This window comes from Homo sapiens, chromosome 1 (genome assembly GCF_000001405.40).
Source record: "Homo sapiens chromosome 1, GRCh38.p14 Primary Assembly".
Classification (NCBI taxonomy): Eukaryota; Metazoa; Chordata; class Mammalia; order Primates; family Hominidae; genus Homo; species Homo sapiens.
In genome coordinates, this window is record NC_000001.11 from 38,186,591 (window position 1) to 38,207,851 (window position 21,261).

At 47.0% G+C, this 21,261-nt stretch overlaps 1 long non-coding RNA gene across 5 annotated transcripts in view, besides 1 other annotated feature; it reads left to right on the forward strand.

Moving 5' to 3' along the window:
- LOC105378654 (uncharacterized) overlaps window positions 1-21,261 on the forward strand; it is a 77,745-nt gene that overhangs the window by 45,095 nt on the left and 11,389 nt on the right. For 3 of the 5 annotated variants that reach the window (XR_002958294.2, XR_001737986.1, XR_007065894.1), the window contains exon 3: window positions 6,415-6,498. This is a non-coding gene — a long non-coding RNA (uncharacterized LOC105378654). Of the gene's footprint in view, window positions 1-6,414; window positions 6,499-6,901; window positions 7,573-21,261 lie in introns of all 5 variants that reach the window. The other 2 variants (XR_001737985.1, XR_001737987.2) reach the window with 1 other exon arrangement.
- Window positions 18,922-19,422: an enhancer, noted in NCBI's record as "H3K4me1 hESC enhancer chr1:38671184-38671684 (GRCh37/hg19 assembly coordinates)". NCBI's record gives its function as "activates a minimal SCP1, AML or CMV promoter by ChIP-STARR-seq in naive H9 embryonic stem cells {active_cell/tissue: H9 hESC(naive)}" and the evidence as "EXISTENCE:reporter gene assay evidence [ECO:0000049][PMID:30033119]".

A 21,261-nucleotide genomic window follows, 5' to 3' on the forward strand; every position in this document is an offset into this window, starting at 1 on the left:
CTTATTTATTCTTCCAGGTCCAGCTCCAATGCTACCTTATTCTAGAAGCCTTTTCCGCTTTATCTCCATCTGCATGCATCCTCACTTCTGGATCTCAGAGCCTTTTGCTTGCGTGTGTGTTGCTGCACTTCTTTCCCATTGTCTGGGAGCACAAGCTTTGCTCGTGGCTAGTGGAGCAAGAGCTCTGAGTAAGGCTCTCCGTGTTAGAATCCCAGTTCCTTCATGTACCTCATGACCTTGTGCACAGCACTTTACTTCTAAGCTTCTGTTTTCTTATTTCCTTTTTTTTTTTTTTTGAGACAGGGTCTCACTCTATCACCCAGGCTGGAGTTCAGTGGGGCCATCTTGGCTCACTGTAACTTCTGCCTCACGGGTGCAAGCGATCTTCCCTCCTCAGCCTCCTGAGTAGCTGGGACTATAGGTGCATGCCACCATGCCTGGCTAATTTTTGTATTTTTTGTAGACATAGGGTTTTGCCACGTTGCCCAGGCTGGTCTTGAACTCCTGAGCTCAAGCGATCCCTCCACCTCGGCCTCCCAAAGTGCTTGTGTTACAGGTGTGAGCCACCACACCTGGCCTCAGTTTTCTTATTTCTAAGAAAAGAGGGACAAGAAAAGCCCTTACTTTGTAAGGTTGTTTTGTGAAACTAATGATGTGCCTGTGAGGTGCTTGGCAGGGTGAATGTGAGCTCCCATGAGGCTGTAAGCACTTTGTGAACAGGAGCTATGTTGGCTAAATCTCCTCCCCAGAGGGGAAGATTTAGAACACTCCTCATGTGATCTATGTCCACATGGCTTGACATGGAACAGGTCCAGGGTAGAGATCCTCAGTGATCATTTTTGTGAATTGACAACTCCCCCAGATAACAATGCGTCCCTGCAGATGCAGCAGACATAGGGCTTGCCTGGTTTAGGCTTTTCCTCAGCACCCCTCAGTGTGGGACAAGACTTGGCTGGGCCCACAGCCAGCAATAAAGTGGATGCTAATAACATCATTATATGCTGAATAATTAACTGTCATTTAAATATTCATATGTTGTTGGGGGCAAGGCCTTTTATCAGCATCTGGGGACGTGTCGGCAGAGGAAGGCGATAGATGTCGGCAAGGCTGACTTTGCCTGTGAAGGGCGATCTAGGGTCCAGAGAGAGCCGTGGAGTGGCCACCAGACAGTAAGCTAATATATAACCGCAATATTCTCACGTGATAAACTGCAATTTCATAAATGCTTGATGCATATGTGCAAGCCTGAAACAATATTGGAAGCATTAATTTCATTTGACTAATGCTTATCTATATTTTATTCTGTTCCATTTTTAAAGAACCCTCTCTTTCTTTCATGCAAAGGGAGGTGGGGCCGGAGACCTGCAGAAGGGCTAGAGTAGAAGGGCCTGGAGGTTCTTACCATCTGTCTGCTGTGCTGCAGGTGCAGGTTGGGACCAGGCTGGTGGACTGTCCCTGAGCCTAGGAGCCCTGCCTTGGGGAGTTCTGACTCTGGTTCCTTGGGAGAAGAACTCAGGCTCTTGGTGGCATCAGGGGAGAGCAGCATGGCACCTAGTTCCTGGCCAGCTGGGTTGAAGCTGCTGTCAATTCCTCAATTGTTTCTGCAGGGGTGAGCCTGGAAGGGATGCCCTAGTGACCCTGCAGGGAGAGGTTTGGGAAGGTAGGGACTGTTACAAAGCAACTACCCCATGGTGGTGAAGTGGGCGTGGGAGGAGGAGGAGGGGGAGGGGAGAAAGAAAGTTAAGGGAGAAGGACAAGGGGCTGGAGGAGGATGGAAAGAAGAGGGAAGAAGAGAAAGGCAAGAAAGGGATGAAGGAGCCTGAAGGGGCTTGTGCCGAAGGAGATGGCTACCTTGGAGGGAGCAGGGCAGATTGGTGTGGTAATTAAGAGCAAGGGTCCTGGAACTGGACAGTCCTGGACTTGAGTTTTAGCTGTGCCTCTAACTAGCTCTGTGACCTTGGGCAAGGAACCTACCTTTTCCAAATGCCAGTTTCCCATTTGTCAAATGGGAAAAATTGTAGTACTTAACTGATGTATTCATTGTACATTTTTGCATAAATTTGAACAAATTACCACAAACGTAGTGGCTTTAAACAACACACGTCTCATAGTTTCTGTGTTAGGGGTTTTGGCAAGGCTTGATTAGATCCTCTTCTGACAATCTCACAGAGCTACAGAAAAGGTGTCAACCAAGAGGCATTCTCATCTGGAGGACTGACTGGGGAAGGATCTGCTTCCAAGCTCACTCAGATTGTTGGCAGGATTCACTTCCCTGCAGTTGTAGGACTGAAGGCTCTGGCTCCTGCTGGTTGCAGGAGGTAGCCTGCAACTCCTAGTTCCACAGTTCCTTGCCATGTGGGCTCCTCCAACATTGCTGCTTATGTCATCCAGCCAGCAGGGAGAGCCTCTATCTCCAGCCTGCTAAGATGGTCCTGGGAATGGGATGTAATAATGGGACAGACCGCCCATTACCTTTGCCATATCCTATTAGTTAGAAGCATGAACACCAGGAGGCTGGAGTCATAGCATTTACCTTCAGGCTTGTCTGCCATATCTGAAGATGACAGCCTGTAACTACTCAGCATTGGACAATGTTCTAGGTGCTGTATCCTACCTCATTTAATCTTCCGAACAACCCCATGATGTGCCATAATTATTGCCACTGTACTGATGAAGAAATGGCAGCCCAAGAGCTTAAGTAACAGCCATATACTTAGTAGCAGGTAGAGTTTGGACTTGAATCAGGTACTCTGGTACCAGGACCCAGACTGATAGCCACCATACAATCCAGCCTCCCAGGGCTGCTTGTGAAGATAAACCACTTAGGATGCTGAGGACAGGTCTTGGTACAAAGTCTAATAAATACCACTCCAAAGTAACCCATTTGTGACTTGGCCTCCTTTGGTAGCCTCTGTGTGCTCCCTGTACCCTTGTTGTGACCACATCTGCAAAATCTTCACATCCCCAGGATCACCAAAGCCAAGCCCAGAGCATTGGAGAGCAAAAAGGGAGCATGGAGGAATGAAGTCGTGTGTTCTTCCCCTCATCTGAAACACCTCCAGCCCAAATCTATTCACCTCTCTGGCCTTCACTTAAATGTCACTTGTTTCTTCTTGCTACTGTAACAAATCACCACAAATTTAGTGGCTTAAGACAATACAAATTTATTATCTTACAGTCCCAGGAGGCAGAAGTCTGAGATGGGTCTCAATGGGCTAAAATCAAGGTGTCAGCAGGGCTGTGTTTCCTTCTAGAAGATCTAGGGGATGGCTGGGCAAAATGGCTCATGCCTGTAATCCCAACACTTTGGGAGGCTGAGGCGAGAGGATCACCTGAGGTCAGGAGTTCGAGATCAGCCTGTCCAGCATGGTGAAACCCCGTCTTTTCTGAAAATACGACAATTAGCTTGGTGTGGTGGTGCACACCTGTAATCCCTGCTACTTGGGAGGCTGAGGCAGGAGAATTGATTGAACCTGGGAGGCGGAGGTTGCAGTGAGCTGAGATCGCACCATGGCACTTCAGCCTGGGTGACAAAGAGAGACTCTGTCTCAATAATAATAATAATAAAATCTAGGGGAGAATGTGCCTGTTTTGCCTCTCTACTTTATGGAGGCTGTCTGCATTCCTCGGCTTGTGGCACCTTCCTGCATCTGCATAGTCAGCAATGGCCAGTCGAGTCTTTCTCACATCACGTCACTTTGACCCTGGCCCTTCTTCTGCCCTCTGATTCTCTTTTAAGGACCCATGTGATTACATTGGGACCACTCAGATCATCCAGGATAATCTCCCTATTTTAAAGTCAGCTGATTAGTACCCTTAATTCTGTCTGCAACATTAATTCCTCATTTGCCGCATAACATAACATGGTCTCGGTTTTGGGATTTAGGATGTGGACCTCTTCAGGGGCCATTCTTCTACCCAGCACACTTCCACAGGGGGTCTGGGGCTCTGTGACATCCTTTACTTATCCCATCACTACCTTAGGCTTCTTCCAGGGGTTTCAAACTCACATTGGGGCCAGGAGCAAATGCAAATGAATCCTCTGAGTGTAGGGTAGTAAGGAGTGGTAGCATGGTGACAAAGGAAAAGTCCTTCCACATTCAAAAATTTTAAGGCATGATGTTGGCCAAATTCAGCCTGCAGACTGCCAGTTTGTGCCTTGGGATCCTGTTAGACTATGACCACCTTGTGAGCTGAAGCTGGGGCTGCAGAGAGGCTAGCACCTTAGGGCAGGGTAGTCAGAGGCACGTTCCTGGGCAGCCAGGTCAGGAAAGGCTCTCCTGCCTCCAGGCTAAAGTTGCTTGTACTGGACCATATGCCAAATGCCCTCTTAGTTGGGTACCCTGTGCAGGGCACAACCCATGCACTGTCCATGGCTCTGTCCCTAGTGTCCCATACGGTGTGTGGCACATAGCATGCATGTGGACTCAATACTTGTTGGATGTGTAATTGAATGAAATCCACTGCCTTCTCACTCACTCTTTACCCTGCTCAGGGATGTGTGACCTCCTTCACAAGAGCTCAGCTTCTCTTGACAGGCACTGTGGATGTGTGCATGTGTGTGCATGTGTATCAGTCACAGGCTTCAGTGACTTGGAACCCAAGGTCTTTGAGCCTTTGCTAGGAAATCACCGTGGCCTGTGACCAAAAGGCTGGGGCCAGGGACTGACTGACGGAGGGGGTTCCAGCCCGCTGTTGCCACTGCCCCAGCCACTTCCTTCCCATTTTCTCCCCACCACCCCCCTTGAATTCAAGATTCCCCAGAGGTCGAGCCTGGTGTAATTACAAGGTATCTGCTGCCTCCCCATAAATCTAATAGACTTTTTGGCCTTGTCAGATTAAAACTTACCTATCAACCCGCCGCAGTCCTCTAGATCTCCCTAAATCTGTACTTGGGAGAGAATTTATGGCCAGGAATTGCATTTTGCAAAATGATTAAAGTTGCCAAACAGCCATAAAAAGTTGCAGGAGGAGATATGGTTTTTTTGAAAGTCTGCTTAATTTATAAGGGGTGGAAGGTTTATTGTCATTTAGAGTCCACAGCGAGGCAGCGATGGAGCGTTCGGCGGCAGCTGTGCACAGCTGCTCTCGCTTTATGCCTTTTACATGTTTTTAAATTGCCCTGTTTGAATCTGGCCTTCTGCAGCAGCAGAAACGCCCTGGTTTGCAGGAGAGAGGCTGTTCCTCCTGTCCTCTGTTGTTCAGCCCTGGTGGCCCCAGATCCCTGCCTCATCCCCAGGCTCACCTTCCAGAAGCTTTTCTGGCTGATCTCTCTGCATGCTGACTGCCCCATCCCATTCTATGATCCTCTGCTCGTCTCTCTGAAACATTAACAAGCACTCACATGCGGAAAGGCTTTTAAGTTTATAGGCGATTTCACGTGTCGTATCTTAGTACTTATCACCCTGGATTAAATGATTAAATGAGATAAAACATGTAAAGCTCTAAATACAAGGCTGCTACCTAGTGAGCTAATAAATAGAATTAGGGCTCCCATTTATTGACCACTTACGAGGTGCCAGGACCTCTGCTCTGAGCGTCACATGCATTAATTCATATAATCTTGCCTGCCACTCTCTGAGGTAGCTGTTAATTGTGTTTGTGTTTTAGGAAGCCTAAAGAACTGAACCATGCAGTCAATGTTCAATGAATATTAGCTGCTTCTATTCATATTATTAGGGCAGGAGTCTTTTCTGTTCTTCTTCCACATTGGCACCTAGTAGGCACTCAATGGGAATTGCTGAATGCAAGCAGGCCTGCATACCTGAACAACACTGCTGTCACTGCCTAATGACCCTCATCCTCTGTGGGTACAAGGATCAGACCTCAATCACCTGAAGTCTAAATTAGTACTAGACACATATTAGTCTATATATATTTGAAAAATGACTGGACCCAGGGATGATGGTGTGCACCTGTAGTCCCAGCTACTCAGGAGGCTGAGGTGGGAGGATCGCTTGAGCGCAGGAGTTTGAGGCTGCAGTGAACTGTGATTGTGCCACTGCACTCCAGTCTGGGTGAGAGAGCGAGATCCCATTTCTGAAAAAAAAAAAAAAGGAAAGAAAAGAAAGATGATTAAATAAATCAAATCCTCACAGCAATCCTATGAGGATGGTTTTGGGAATTCCATCTTACAGAGGAGGAATAGGAAGCTGAGAGGGAGTATAACGTCTGCTAAAATCACAGCTATAATGGCTGAGCCATGATTTGGATTCCAAGTCCAGTGGGTTTTTTCCCACCTCAGCCCAGCTGACCACCTGTTAGGCATTTGGAGGTAGATTCAGAAATTTTTCTTCTTCATTATTACCATATCTAATATTGATTAAATACCTAGTACTCACCAGCTGTACATACTGTCCCGAATCATGCTCACAACATACTTGCATGATGTTTATTATTTTCTCCATTGTATAGATGCGGAAATTGAGACTCAAAGAGGTTGAGCAGCAATTCCGTGAGCTGAAACTTAAGCCCAGATGCATGTGATTCCAGAGGCAGGTAATTATGATAAAGGATGGTGATTGCTATAATGAGGGAAGAACTCTAAACCCAGCCTGGCAAAGGCAGCGAGGAGAGGAGAACTGTCAGGGCAGGCTTCCTAGAGAAAGTGGCTTCTAAGCTGACATTTGAAGGATGAGTAGGGATTTGTCAGATAAATGATAGGGGATCATGTTCTAGGCAGAGGGAACAGCAGGAAGGCAAAAAAGAACAAGGCTGATTGAAGGATGTGACTGTTGAGCCTGGCCAGAGGCAGTCTTGGATTCCCTCTGGCCTCAGTCTCAATCTCCACCTCCCTGGGGTGCAGAGATGCTCAAGGTGGGAGAGGAACCCATCGGCTGTGGGCTGGGCTGCTTCCTAAGTTTTCATCAGCTCTGCCCTCACTCTCGGCTCTTTTTTCCAGGCCCAGGCCCACTCGCCTCCTGTGAGTATCAGGGAAGTCCAGTGCTGTCTGCTGCTGGCCTGTGATGGATGAATTGGCCCTCTTGGACTTGGTCCAGTGCTTTCAAACTCGACTTTGTCCCTCCATCCATATGTTCAGGCTTTTTTCCCTCCTCCCCACAGCCTGGGCATGGCAGGTGAAGGAGCCTCCTCCTCTACTTTCTCTGCTTCTCAAATGTTCTAAGACTTGGGAGAAGCCCAAAGACCTCCAGGCTCTTCACTCATTCATTCAACAGATACCTTCTGAGCATCTGGTATGTTCTGGATTTTGTCGTAGGGGTTGTGAACACAGCAGGCCAGGTTGTTGTCCGCATGGAGGTTATCATGAACAAATGCATCAACGAGAAGATTGTAGGGAATGGCATGAGCTTTGATGTTACTAAAACAAGTTGGTGTCATTGGAAGTGACTGGGGGATGCGAGAGGGGCTGTTTTGCTAGCATGTAGGGAAATCCACTCCATAGAGGGGATGTTCGAACCGAGATTTAAATGAAAAGAAGCCACTCAGAGGAAGATCTAGAAGAAGAATATTCCACACCAAGAGAGCGACAAGTGCAAAGTTCTCAAGGTTGGAATGGACTTTACCAACTCAAGGAAGAGAAACGAGGCTGGAGCTTGGAGAGCAGGGGCAGAGGTGGGTAGGGATCAGATCCTGCAGGGGCTTAGAGCCCATTGTCAGACTTTAGATTTTACCCTAAGTGCAACTATAGCTCTTGGAGGCTTGGATCGGGGAGAAATGTGATCTGGTTTACACGGTAAAGGATCACTCTGCTTTCCATGTTGAGAACAGGTTATCGAGAATTCTGACAGCCACAAATCCTAACCCACACCAAACTCTCCTCCAGATGCACCTCACCCTGCTGTACTTCTAGGTCCTTGCGCCTGCAAAACCCTCTGCCAGGTATGCCTTTCTGCTTACTTTCTAGAACATTCCTATTCATCTTCAGGACCCAGCCCCCAGGCACTTTCCTGATGGGCCCTCCCCCTCGCCCACAGTAAGGGTTAAGTTCATGTTCTCATTGCCATTACCCAATTCCAGCCATAAGCAGACTCAGCCTGTTTCTGGGTCCCTCCCCCGACTGGACCAGGAGCTCCTCAGACATCAGGATTGCAGTTGACTTGGCTGTGAGAGCCCAGGACCTGCACACAGCCGGGCCCAGCCTGGGTGCCTGCCAGCTAAACAAATGCTTTCTGGGTGGACACGAACTCATTGAGTGCCCAAGTCATTAACAGAAGCACGAGGTTAGCAAGCACCCTCTGTTTAAACAAATAATAAGATTAGAAGTATGGTAACATACTACTTACCACAGCATTTAATTTGAATCCATACTTACTAGAAATCGTGGCATCTGGACACTGAGTTTCCAAGTGTTTACTAAAAGCGGCAATAGCCTGTGATCGTCAAAATTTGAATAGTTCTTTCTCAAGGACTGTTCCCTTGCTACCTTGAGACTAGGAATGTCTGTAAAAAAAAAAAAGAACACATTTGTTATAATACTTCTTGTAAATACTTGTGTTGGAAAGAATACACTTATTAAAATACTTCCTATATTCCTGTAAATCCTGGTGTTTGTTCATGTGCAGTTGTAAACCTGTGTTTGTCACAGGATGCTGTGTACACTCTCTGATATTTTTCTAATTCAGCTACTGATACAGAAGAACTGTGCAGCTTCTTAGTAAGCTAGGAATATTTAAAGGCTGTCTTCCTTGTTCATGATCTATGCAAGTAAAAATTAACGAATTTTGAAACAAGGTGGGGTCTCATTCTCTACCAGCTGTAAGCTTGGTGAGGGCAAGGAAGGTAATGGGATCCTCATTCGCTGAGGCTTCCCTAGCATGGGGTCTGCCCGCAGCGGCAGATGCTTGTTGATGGAGGCATGAGCGAACCTTGGCATGTACAGGCCAGGATTCCCTCCACCAAACTCAACTGCACCTCCTCCCACCATGAGAGTGTATGGCTGGGCCTGAGGCCTGCCAGTTGATTTCACTGTGCTGGGAGGAATCTAGTTCACACTCAGCCTGGGTACTGCGCTGTGAATGTCCTCACACCAGGCAGCCCTATGAGCATGGCACTGGGATGCCCAGTGATGATACAGGGGAAACAGCTGGATCATTGAAATGTGCAGTTTTCACTTGACTGTTTGGCAAAGACCCTAAGACCCTGAATAAGTTGTTTAGCTTCTTTGGGCCTCGGTTTCCTCACCTATGAAATGGGTATCATAATATATTTTTGTAAGATAGCTCTCCAAAGACTAGTGGCCCTATTTGACTGCCAAAGTCCAGACAAGTGTTGCTGACTCCCCACTGCCCTCATCCTATCTTGGCCTTTGACATCAGAGTAGAGAATCAAGAAAAAGGACCTTGTCCCCACTCTGATTAAATCCATGATTGCTCTGCTCAGACATCTCAGAGCCCGATGTGATGGGAGGTTTCGAGACTATGCCAGACTCCGTTGTTCTTAACCCCCAGTGCAGATAGCCAATGTGTGTACCTGGCCTGAGCACAGCGGCTGCTTGGCATGTTCCTTCCTTCACCCTTCCAGGTTGAAGCCATCCTGGCAGGTGCCTCTGTGTGACTGGGTGCCAAATGGCAACCCGCTCCTCTCCATTGATGACGTTAACCTTCACATCTCAGGGCTTCTCTTGTAATATCCATGCATTCCATGGATAGTTACTAAGAGCATAGCACGTGCAAGTGCCAGTTAGCACTGGGAATATAGGAGAACAAAATTAGTTCTGCCCTCACGGAACCTGCATTCCAGCGGGAAGGGGGTGGATGTTTTTGGGTAGAGACACACAGGCACCTGGGGTCTGTGAGGTTGACAGAGTCTGATTCCTGGTCTGCAGGCTTTTGATGCTCACTCCTGGAAGTCAATATCCATCTTCAAGTCTGCCTCCCTAATGCCCAGTTTCAAGTTTCTGGGGGAATTAATGAAGATAATGCTGTACGGTGTCTGATATGGTGCTGGGCACATCCCGGGTGCTTGGAAGTTGTAGATCTCTTTCTCTTTCCAACACAGATCTTTTTGTGTCCCCCTTCCTGTGTCTTCCTCTTTGCCCTGATTTTCAGGCAGAGCAGGAAGAGGGGCCCTTTGTACTTAGGGCTGAAGGCAAGCCACTTCTTTGGTTTCAGGGACAGCCTGCTGAGGGAGGTGGCATAGGAGGAAGATGAGACATACCCGGAGATCTTGGGAAAAAGGATGTTCAGTGCCTCTGCCCTCGCTGCCAATACTGAAGCAGAGGGAGGCAAGGCCCAGCCTGAGGTCTCCTTAAAGGTGAATGAGACCAGGCACGGTGGCTCACGCCTGTAATCCCAGCACTTTGGGAGGCTGAGGCAGGCGGATCACCTGAGGTTGGGAGTTTGAGACCAGCCTGACCAATATGGTGAAACCCCGTCTTTACTAAAAAAAAAAAAAATACAAAAATTAGCCGGGCACAGTGGCTCACACCTGTATTCCCAGCTGCTCAGGACACTGAGTCAGGAGAATCACCCGAACCTGGTAGGTGGAGGTTGCAGTGAGCCGAGATTGAGCCACTGCACTCCAGCCTGGGCGAGAGAGTGAGACCCTGTCTCAAAAAAAAAAAAAAAAAAAAAAAAGTAAATGAGAGAGGGAACATGAGCTAGGCTGAGCAAGAAACAGTGAAAACAGTTACTCTCAACTTTGCACAGTCCCACCAAAGAGCGGTGGCATCTTGCTGTGTAATCCAGTGAACTGGCTGTTTTGGATCCGATAAGACCCTGGCTTGAAACCCTCCACCAGCAAAGTGAAGGATGGCATTGTTGTCCATCATAAAAATCAATGGTTCTTTTGCTAAGTGGCCAATATTTATTTGGCTTTAGCATTGTTTAATTCAATGCATCAATTAAAGACAGTGTAATGTCTGCTCTGGTCTTCAGCCTCAGCTTCTGTGTGTCGTTACCTCATCTGTTTGAGATCACTCACATCCTTACGTCTCTGCTCCTTTGTCCCCTTGCGTAACTCAAGGACAGGAGTAATTGACGTGAAACTTTTAAAAATTAATTTCGCTGCATATGTCACTGAGGGAGAGTGCAAGTCCTCCCAGCCATTTATAACGTCACGGTGATTGGTCCTGACAAAACAATACCTTAAAAACTCACCAAAGTAAATTATGGCCCGAGCAAATGGCTGCTCCGTGGCAGGGCCGGAGGCTTGGAGGAGAGCCAGGCAAAAACAAAGTAATGTGCTTTTGATATTAATAACAGAGATGATATTGATCTGCAAGCTAGTGTCACTTCTCCACTCTGGCGAGGAGATTGCTCCCGGCATTTAGTCCACTGAAAGCCACTTTCCATTCAGGCCATTTAATTTTGTGAGTCTTTAATTATGTGAAATGGAGTCTAGTTAAAGGGCCAGGTCCCAGTTTTGCCAGGCGGAGACGTGGGCTGTGATTCAGGAAGCTGTCAGAAATGAATATAACTCAATTCTTAGACCTGCAAATGCAGTAGTCTTTCTAAATGTTTATTTCATCCCTGCACTTCTCTGGCCTGGTGCCATTGTGCATCAGGACAGACACAGACTCTGATTACAGGATCACATTTTTCAAAGACCTGAAGTTAATGTGCCTGTTTTCTGCATAATAAAAGTCATAACTCACAGGGACCTCCAATGCCTCTCCCCTGAAAGGGGGCCTAGACAGACTGCAGGAGGGCTGAACATTCCAGCCTGGATAGCGTGCCCTGTACCTGGCCCAGTTTTGGACATTCAGTCTCCCTGCGGAGCTGTGACGGAACATGCTGGCAGACCACAAGTCAGACCACAGGCCAGCCCGTGGGGCAGATTATGTATCAGAGGTTCACGAGACAAATTGGGAAGAAACCCACATATAAGACCACAGTGATGTCCATGGCTTCTGATTTAGGCTTCAGGGAATGTCATCACTACAGCTCTATACCTTGGATTTATCTAAGTATCTTTCCTTGGGTCAGATCCGGTCAAAGTCTCTTTCTCCCTTTCTCTTGTGCATATAGTCCTGTCTCTGTGTGTCCCTATGTTCCAGAAAGGCAACCTTTCATCTATGTGTATATTTGAGCAACATACACATTGCTTGCAAGCTCACCACGATCCTAGAATCACTATTGGTCTCTGCTTTACAATTGTTCCTCATGTTGGCTGCTGTGTCCCCTTTTCCATATAAAATCTCTCCTGAGTGTGACTAAAGGCCCTCTTGTTGAAATGCATTTTCAGAGTTTAGAGCTCAGCCTGCCTGGGCTATCCTGCTGTTGTTCTAGTTGACACTGAGTGGTGTTCCATGATAGGAACCGCCTGGAGATATACAGACTACCCCTGCCTTCTCCTGTCCTGTAACACTCTCCAGTTGCCTGGACCCTCAAGACTTTCTTACAAAGAGGGGTCAGTATAGAATAGCATGTCTCAAAACTTGGCTCTCTGACAACTCCTCCTCTCCAGCCAAGGATTGAGACCTAAAATAATTAGAACCGCAGAGACAAAATGCTGTATCATCTCCACACTTTACTCACAGGAGGATGCACCAGAACCTTGCTCAGAGTCCCTTTCTCTTATGTTATGAATAGTTTTGACAGTCTTCATTATTATTTGTGTAGCCTACAGAGGATTTAGAAGTAGAAAAAAGAGGTGGAGAGTGGCTTCTAGAAGTAAAAACACCCAGAGCAGCAGCTGAAAGTGAAGGAAGAGAGAACTTTAAAAGCACACAAAGTAACTCAATATGAGAGGTCTTCAAAAACTTCATGAAAATGTGTATTAAGAAAAAACTAGTCCAGGTGCAGCAGCTCACACCTTTAATCCTAGCACTCTGGGAGGCTTAGGTGGGCAGATTGCTTGAGCCCAGGAGTTCAAGACCAGCCTGGGCAACATCGTAAAACCCCTTCTCTACAAAAAATAGAAAAATTAGCTCAGTTTGGTGGTGGGAGCCTATAGTTTCAGCTACTCAGGAGGCTGAGGTGGGAGGATTACCTGAGTCCGGAAGGTTGAGGCTGCAGTGAGCCATGACTGTGCCACTGCACTCCAGTCTGGGTGACAGAGTGAAACCCTATCTTAAAAAAAAAATGAAAAAGGAAAAAAATGAAAAAACTATAGATGGATTTCAAAATCTTTTTGCACCAAAATAAACCCGCACTAACTTGTTATAACATGTCTGAACAGGATCTATTTTGAGGCACTAAGAAGGATAAGACATCAGCTTGAAAAGAGCCCCTATCAAAGCAACATGAATTTTGCTAAAATTGAAGCAAGAACAAACATCAAATTTATGGTGAAGCTTGGGTGGAAGAATGGTGAAATCATTAATGCTTTACAAAAAGTTTAGGAGACAATACCCCAAAGAAATCAACAGTTTACAAATGGGTAACTGGTTTTAAGAAGGATGAGATGATGTTGAAGTTGAAGTCCTCAGCTGCAGACCATCCATATCAATTTGTGAGGAAAACATTAATCTTGCTCATGCCCTAATTGAAGAGGACGAGTGATTAACAGCAGAAACAATAGCCAACACCATAGACATCTTAATTAGTTCAGCTTACACAATTCTGACTAAAAAATTTAAGTTGAGCAAATATTCCACTTGGTGAGTGCCAAAACCATTGTATCCAGATCAGCTGCAGACAAGAGCAGAGTTTTCAATGGGAATTTTAAACAAATGGGATGAAGATCCTGAAGCATTTCTTTGAAGAATTGTAACAGGAGATGAAACATGGCTTTACCAGTACAATCCTGAAGACAAAGCACAATCAAAGCAATGGCTACCAAGACGTGGAAGTGGTCCAGTCAAAGCAAAACTGGACCAGTCAAGAGCAAGGTCATGGCAACATTTTTTTTGTGATGCTCAAAGTATTTTGCTTGTTGATTTTCTGAAGGGCCAAATAATGATAACATCTGCTTATTATGAGAGTGTTTTGAGAAAGATAGCCAAAGCTTTAGCAGAAAAATGCCTGAGAAAGCTTCACCAGAGAATCCTTCCCCACTATAAGAACATTCCTGCTCATTCCTTTTGTCAAACAGGGCCAATTTTGCAAGAGTTTCAATGGGAAATCATTAGGCTTCCACCTTACAGTCCTGATTTGGCTTCCTCTGACTGCTTTTAGTTTCCCAATCTTAAAAAAATCTGTAAAGGGTATCCATTTTTCTTCAGTTAATAATGTAAAAAAGACTGTATTGACATGGTCAAATTCCCAGGACCTGTAGTTCTTTAGAGATGGACTAAATGTCTGGTATCATTGCTTACAAAAGCAACTTGACCTTGATGAAGGTTATGTTGAGAAAGTTTATATTTTTCATTTTTATCTTTTAACTTCACATTTCCACAAACTTTTTGAAGTCTTCTCATCCAGGGAGGTTTCTCAAAGTATGTTTGAAAAACATCCCTATAGGGGAATGTAAGGGAAAGGGGTTGCTTTGTGTTGCAGAATAGCAGACTGAGACTGGTTATTTATGAACAACACAAATTTATTTGGCTCACAGTTCTGGAGGCTGGGAAATCCAAGAACATGGCACCAGGATCAGAATAGCAGACTGAGACTGGTTATTTATGAACAACCAAAGTTTATTTGGCTCACAGTTATGGAGGCTGGGAAATCCAAGAGCACGGCACCAGGATCTGGCAAGGGCCTTTGTGCCGTGTCATCCCATGGCAGAAGGTGGAAGGGCAAGAGAGTATGAAAGCAAGAGAGCAAGAGGAGGCAGACTCATTTTTATAACAAAGGCACTCTCATGATAATAATCTAATCAGCTCTTATTAGGCCCCACCTCCTAACACTGTTGCATTAGAGTTTAAGCTTCCAACACATGAACTTTGGGGGACACATAGTAACTATAGAAGGGATATACAATGAAATATGTTTAGGAAATGCTGGGTTAAAGAAAGCCAGACAGGTTTCTTAGCTGCAGGAGATTTCAGTGCTCCTAATATGCTAACATGCACTGTGCCTCTGTAAAGGCAGGGGAATAAAATTCAAGTTTTCTTAAATGTATTTACCCAAAAATATTTTTTCTCCTTTGGTCCCCACTCAAGAGGATTTTGAGAGTTTAGTATTCAGCTGAACACAGTCAGAGAAATACTGATATACCACGACTCATGTTTGTACTGGCAACTGTAGTGGACACCATCTGTTTTTGGCAGCCATTGGCTCTCCTTGCAGAAACAGCCCTCCCCAATTTTTTTAGTACATGTGATGTAGTTGGGAGTTTATTCCTCAACTTCAGCAGTGAGCACATAACCCATGCTAAGCCACTCATGACATTGCATCCCCTGGGCCACAATAACTGGTTTGAGGATAGGCACATAGTTTGATCACAGCCATGGAGATGCTATGGGACTTTGAAGGGAATTCTGGATAAGAGACAGTTTGACTCAAAAGCAAAGGATGTGAGGCTTGGAGCTGTGGCAGCCATTTTTCCAACACCTGGAGCTCAAGAAGTCAACCTGGAAGAGAACAGGGCTGTGAGGTGAAGATAAACTGGATCTGTCTTTTGAAAAGATCGGTTTGGGTGCTGTGTGGAAATTAGTATTGGTAGAGGGATCTGGCATTGAGACCAGTTAGTCAGCAAGTAGTGGGACGAGATGAGAATGGCTTGAATTAGAGAATAGGCAGTAGAAATGGTGAGGGCTCTTTAGGAGGTAATAATCACTTGGGGAATGATTGGAGGGGATGAAGAAGCAGGAGAGAAAAATGATGGCTTCCAGGTTTCTGACTTGCAAAACCGAAGAGATGGTGGTGACATCTGAAAGAGGACCAGGTTTGTTTTGGGAAAATGGAGTGGGAGGGAAGTCATGAGTTCATTTTGGTTGTATTTGATTTCAAGAGTGGTTGGGAACTCTTAAGTGTTGAGTAGGATTTTGACTTGAGGTCAGAGGAGAGCCTTGGATTGGCAATATCAATTGGGGAGACCTTGTCTTACGGAGGGTAGTGAGTTACCCATGACAATGCTACCCAAATGTATGTCTGGGACAGGAGGATAAAACTTCAAAGGAAACTGGTAAAGGAACCCTCAGAGAGGTAGAAGGGACAGAATGTTTAAAGTAGGAAGGAAAGGTCAACTTGCTGAGAATTAGAAGAGGATTGGAAAGTGTCCTTTGTGTTAAGAGATAAGAAGAACACTAGTACTTTTAGCCAGAGCTGTTCGGTAGAATAAAGGGCAAAAGTCAGATTATTGGGTGGAGGAAGGAGCAGGGAGGAGAGGAAGCAATCAGAGCAATAATAATAATAGCAAACAATGGCAAATAGGAAGTGAACACTTACTATGGGCAGGCCCTGTTCTAAGTGCTTTATGTATATTAACTCCCTTAACCCTCACAATGATTCTTTGAGGTAGGTACATGTGTTTACATTTTATAGACAAGAGGAAACAGAAGATCAGAGAGGTTATGTGATTTGCCTGATGTCACACAGCTGCTGAGAAATGGAACTGGAATTCAAAAGCAGGCAGTCTGGCTCCAGGGCCCATATTCCTAGCCAATAACTTATACCAAGGGATTACATGGTGACAACTCTTTCAGGCAGTTTGGCAGTGAAGGAGAGGAGAGGAGAGAAGAGGGGGAGAGGAGAGGAGAGAGACCTGTAACTGGAGACCTGTAGCCAAGGAGGTTTATCCTAAGATGGGAGAGACATAAATGTTTAAATATCAACAAGAAAGATCCTTTTCAGATGAAGTGGATGGATACAGAGGAGAGAGAAGAAACAATGAATAATGTGGGGTGGGAGACAATGGGGTTCAAAACACAGGAGGAGCTAGGAGGAAGGACCCCTCCTCTCATGCAGGGCTAGGGGAGAGAATGGGTGGTGATGTAGGTAGATTTGTAGGAGAGTTACTTTCTGATCAATTCCATTTTATCTGGGAAGGGGTGAGGTCACCTGATGAGCGTGAGAGGGCAGGAGTAAAGCATATGAGGTTTGAAGAGTCTGGGAATGTTTGAAAGTCATGGAAGGCAAAAGAGGAAGCTGGTGAAAAAACGTTGGAGAATCACAGGAAGCCAGTGATCATGAATTTTGTCGGTTTGTGTGCAGCACAAGACAGCAAAGGGTTGGGTTCATTGAAGATTGGGGTTTTGATAAACAGGTAGAGAAGAGAAAGTGGTGGGGGAGAATTTGGAGTACTGGTAGGAGCGTTAGTAAAATGATGGACCACAGAGTCTATGCCAAGATAAAAGGAGAAGCAGAGGAAGACAGCTGATAGGTTGAGAGAAAGATGAAAAGGTTGATGAAAGTCTTGAGGAAGCTAAAGAAGGACCATGATGCAAGATTTAAAGAAGTAGAGTAGATTGGTCAGAGAGCAGGACGCTTGAGTTAGTGATGCTGGGGGCTGCAGTTTGGGGTCATGGCAAGGCTTGTGATGAGACAGGGAATGAGTGACTGGGGGAAGTGGGAGAGAGGGTTATTGGAGATGAGATTGAGGACCTGAGAAGCCTACGTGTTGCATGGATAGTTCCTGTGGATGTCGAATTCACCCAAGATAAAGGCACAAAGTAAAAAAGCCAAAAGTATGAAATAAAATCTTAAAGTGAAAAAGAAGACCTCAGCCAGGTGCCAAAGGCTTCTGGGGGCTGATCATGATATCAACAATAATGTCTACCACAATGAGGCAAGGAGAAAGGGTAGAGCTGAATGGCACGGCCCTCAAAGGTGCACTGTTTTCTAGGCCAAAGAGGAGCAATGGAGAGTAAGATGGATACCAACCCCACCTCTGATTCTTACAGAGTAAATGAGCAGACAGCAGCATCTCTGGGGGGCTGCAGGGGAGGAAGTGTCTTCAAGAAAGACCCTGGTTCCAGTTAAGGCAGGAGATGGAGGGAACCCTTAGGGAAGACTCTCTGAATTTCCAGCTCCAGGTAGAGTTTAGGGGTTGAGAGGGGGAGTGGAGAAGTGGGACAAGGACATAACACAACAGCATTATGAAGCTGGTGCGTGTGGAGGAAGACTAATGGCCCATGGACTCATGCTCTGAGCATTGACGCGGGGTCATGGGCATGGGAGGCTGGCTTCAATGGTCTCTCGAAGATGATTGCCTCCAGGTTGTACAGTCAGGGGACCTGGTTCACTCAGCTTGGGGCCCAGCCACAATGCTAGCCCTTGGAGCCCTTCAGGGCATTGGTCATCTGGCACTGAGCAGGCTGTTCCATTTAGGTAGGGCATGAGGGTTTCAGTTCACCACAGCCCCCACGTCTCTACTGTACACAACTAGCTTGATTTTTTGTTTTCTGCTAGGTCCCATTTCTATCATCCCCATTTTTGTATTTGACTCCTGATTGCGAGTTTAAACTCTGGATTCAGACAATCTTGAACCTGAATTTTAGCTAGCCACTTAAGAGCCACGGGAGCCCAGGCAAACTCTGTGCCTCGGTTTTCTCATCAGTGAAATGGGGGCTGAAAGAGCACCTATCTCATAGATTGTTGTGAGGATTAAATTAAATGATGCAAACAAAGTGTTTAGCACAGTACCTGGTATATAGTGAGTGCTCAATAACAAGTAATACACATTTATTGAGCACTTACTATGTGCCAGTTTCTCTTCTAAGACTTCCCATGTAATGACTGACTGATGTAATTCTCTTAACAATTCTATGAGGTGAATACTATTATGTTATTTCATCATTTCCATTTGACAGATGAGGAAACTGTTGCATAGAGAGGGGAAGGAGTTTTTTTCAAGGTGAAACAACCATTAAGTAGTGAAACCGGTCAAACCCAGGCATTTTGAAGCTCCACTCTTAAACCATCATGCCATATAGCCTCTCACTGTGATACAAATGTCACTATTAATAACTATTATCACACAATTATTGTATAATTTTGCAAAAATTATATTGCAAAGTTTAATTAACCAAAACTTGGAACTGGTGCCCATACTAGGTTGGCAGTAGCATGCAGACCCTGACACTTCCTGGACACGCTCAGCCTGCCTTTCTCTGTCCACTGGTCTGAGCCCCTCTGTCTCCCAGATGGCTCAGTTTGGGATATCTGGCTCTCCAGGAAGCCGCTGGCTGTCTGACCCAGGTTTTCTGTCCATTCAGCCGAATCTCCATCAGAGGTACAACCCCCTCTTGATATGGCCTAGGGTAGGGGTGCTTAATTACACGAACTTCAGAGTCTGCCCTAGTTTGCCTCTTTCCTCCTCTCTCAATGTTCCTATTTGCACAACAAAGTCACTTTCTGTCCTTTGGGGTCCCCGTGAGACTCTTCTGGCCACTCGTCGCTGTAGTCCGTACCCTCTCTCCCAGATCTCTGCATGATTTTCTTAATGTGTCCACAATCCCCTGTTCTCCAGGGTCCTGAGTGAGAGCTGGGGATGTCAGGTTTGGGGAGGATGAGGGGGTTTCTCAGGGATCCTGGTCAGCAGGGTCTTGGAGGCCCCAGTTACTTAGAAAGAATTCCCCAGCATCAGATAAAGATTCCAGGGACCAAATGAGTACTGGGAGCCCTGGCCCAAACCCTGGCTGGCCACCCGACAGGCTTCCTAGAAAGCAGCTCACTGTGCAGTGGGTGCCGAGTGGGTGCTGTGGGTGCCGTGGGTGCCATGGGTGCAGCTTCATCTTGGCGGCCCTGGAGCAGTAGTTCCTTGGCCACCCAGCCTCACTGGCAGTGAGCCCCTGGAGGATGGAGCCCACAGCAGCCTTGTGGCCAGTGCATCACAATGTGGAGCACACAGTAGGGACCCCATAAATATTTGTCGAGTATCCCATCCTGTCCTCTAGACTGGACAACTGAGCAGGAGATGATTAAAAAAAATAAAAATACTAGCAGATACTTATATACCATTTACTACGAGCCAAGTATTATTCTAAATGTCTTCCATATATTAATTAAGTGAATCCTCATAACCACCCTGGGAGGTGGGTACTAGTGTCATCCCCATTTTACAGATGAGGAAACTGCAACCCCATGAGCTTGGGTAACTCATCTATGGTGATACTGCTAAGAAGTGGCAGAGCTGGGACTTGAACCCCAATATTGTGGCTTCAGGGTCGAGGCTCTTAACCATAATATGTGCATCCTGCTCTTTCTGAACCCTGTCACCAGGTCACCAGAGATAAGAGCTCATGTCCAACAGCTTCAGCTAAAAGGGAGGTATTGGCTCTGTGCTTGGAAGGTTTGGGGGGGCCTGGCCCTAGGGTTCTGGGGGTCCAGGTGATGTCAATAGACCAGCCATTCATGCAGCCTCTCTCTGTCTCTGCTCTGCTTCCATCTGTAAGCCAGCTTGTGTCTGTTCCGTGACCACAGGGGCCAGCTCCCAGAACTGGCTGCCCCACCAGACCCACAGGTTGTGGAGAAGGGCCAGCTTGGCACAGGGAGGGGGTGTCACAACCAGAAGAAGGGGGCAGAGGTGCCAGGCAGACAAAGATAACAGATGGAGACTTCGAGCTCCTGCCCCTGCAGGGGGTTTATACCTTTTAATAGCCCTCACTACAACCTAGAAGCTCCCATTTATAAATGAGGAAACGGAGGCACAAAGTAACTTGTCAAGGGTCCCACAGCTTGAAGTGGCACCAGCGGCATGCAAGCCCAGGGCTGCCTGATTCTGGACTCCATGCTGCCTGGAGCTTCTCAGACGGAGGCCCTGGGGGTCATATTGCATGGCTCACCTTGGCTTCCCCAAGACCTCAGGGCAGTTCTGTGGTTAGAGGACACAGGCCGAGAGGCACCTGGAGGGAGGGAGGCCAGGCCTCACCAGGGCCAGTGGCCAGGCTGGAGGGAATCACTGGTTGAATGGTGCTCAGGGTCCTGGAGCTGGTGGAGGTGGGTTCCCTGCCCTCCCCTGGCCCTGCATGGCCCCCAGGGCTGTGAGTCTGGGGACTGGGCACCTCCCCTGGGCCTCTGGCAGGGAGCGAGCAGTGCCTGAGGCAGGAGGCAGGCAGGCATGGCGTGGTCCCTGCCCATCTGGGGAGTGCTTGGTGGCTGGCTGGAACTGAGCAGTGGACGGCGTTTGGACTCAGCAGCGTGAGCCCAGCTCGGAGGCTGCGAGGCAGAGCCGTGAACGCCAACAGTCTGGAGGCAGGCTCCGGAGGGAGACAGGCTCGGGCCCATTCGCTGAGCTTGGTTCCCACGACAGCTCAGCAGACAGATGGACCTGGGAATCCTCACTGCCTGGCCAGGAGGGCGCACACATGAATGGAAATGCAGGCACCCCGGTGGGGAGGGACAGGCTGGAGGTTCCCAGGGAGGGCCAGGGGGGCGAGCCAAGGAGCAGGAGCTATGGCCTGGGCTAAGCGGTTAGATAAACCAGTTGGGTGTGCTGTGCTTCTTGGTTAGACTGATCCCTGGGCCTCGGCCCAGGTATAGCCCTGACCTTGACCTCAGGCTTTGCCTTGATTCCAGCCTCAATCTGAATCCTGAA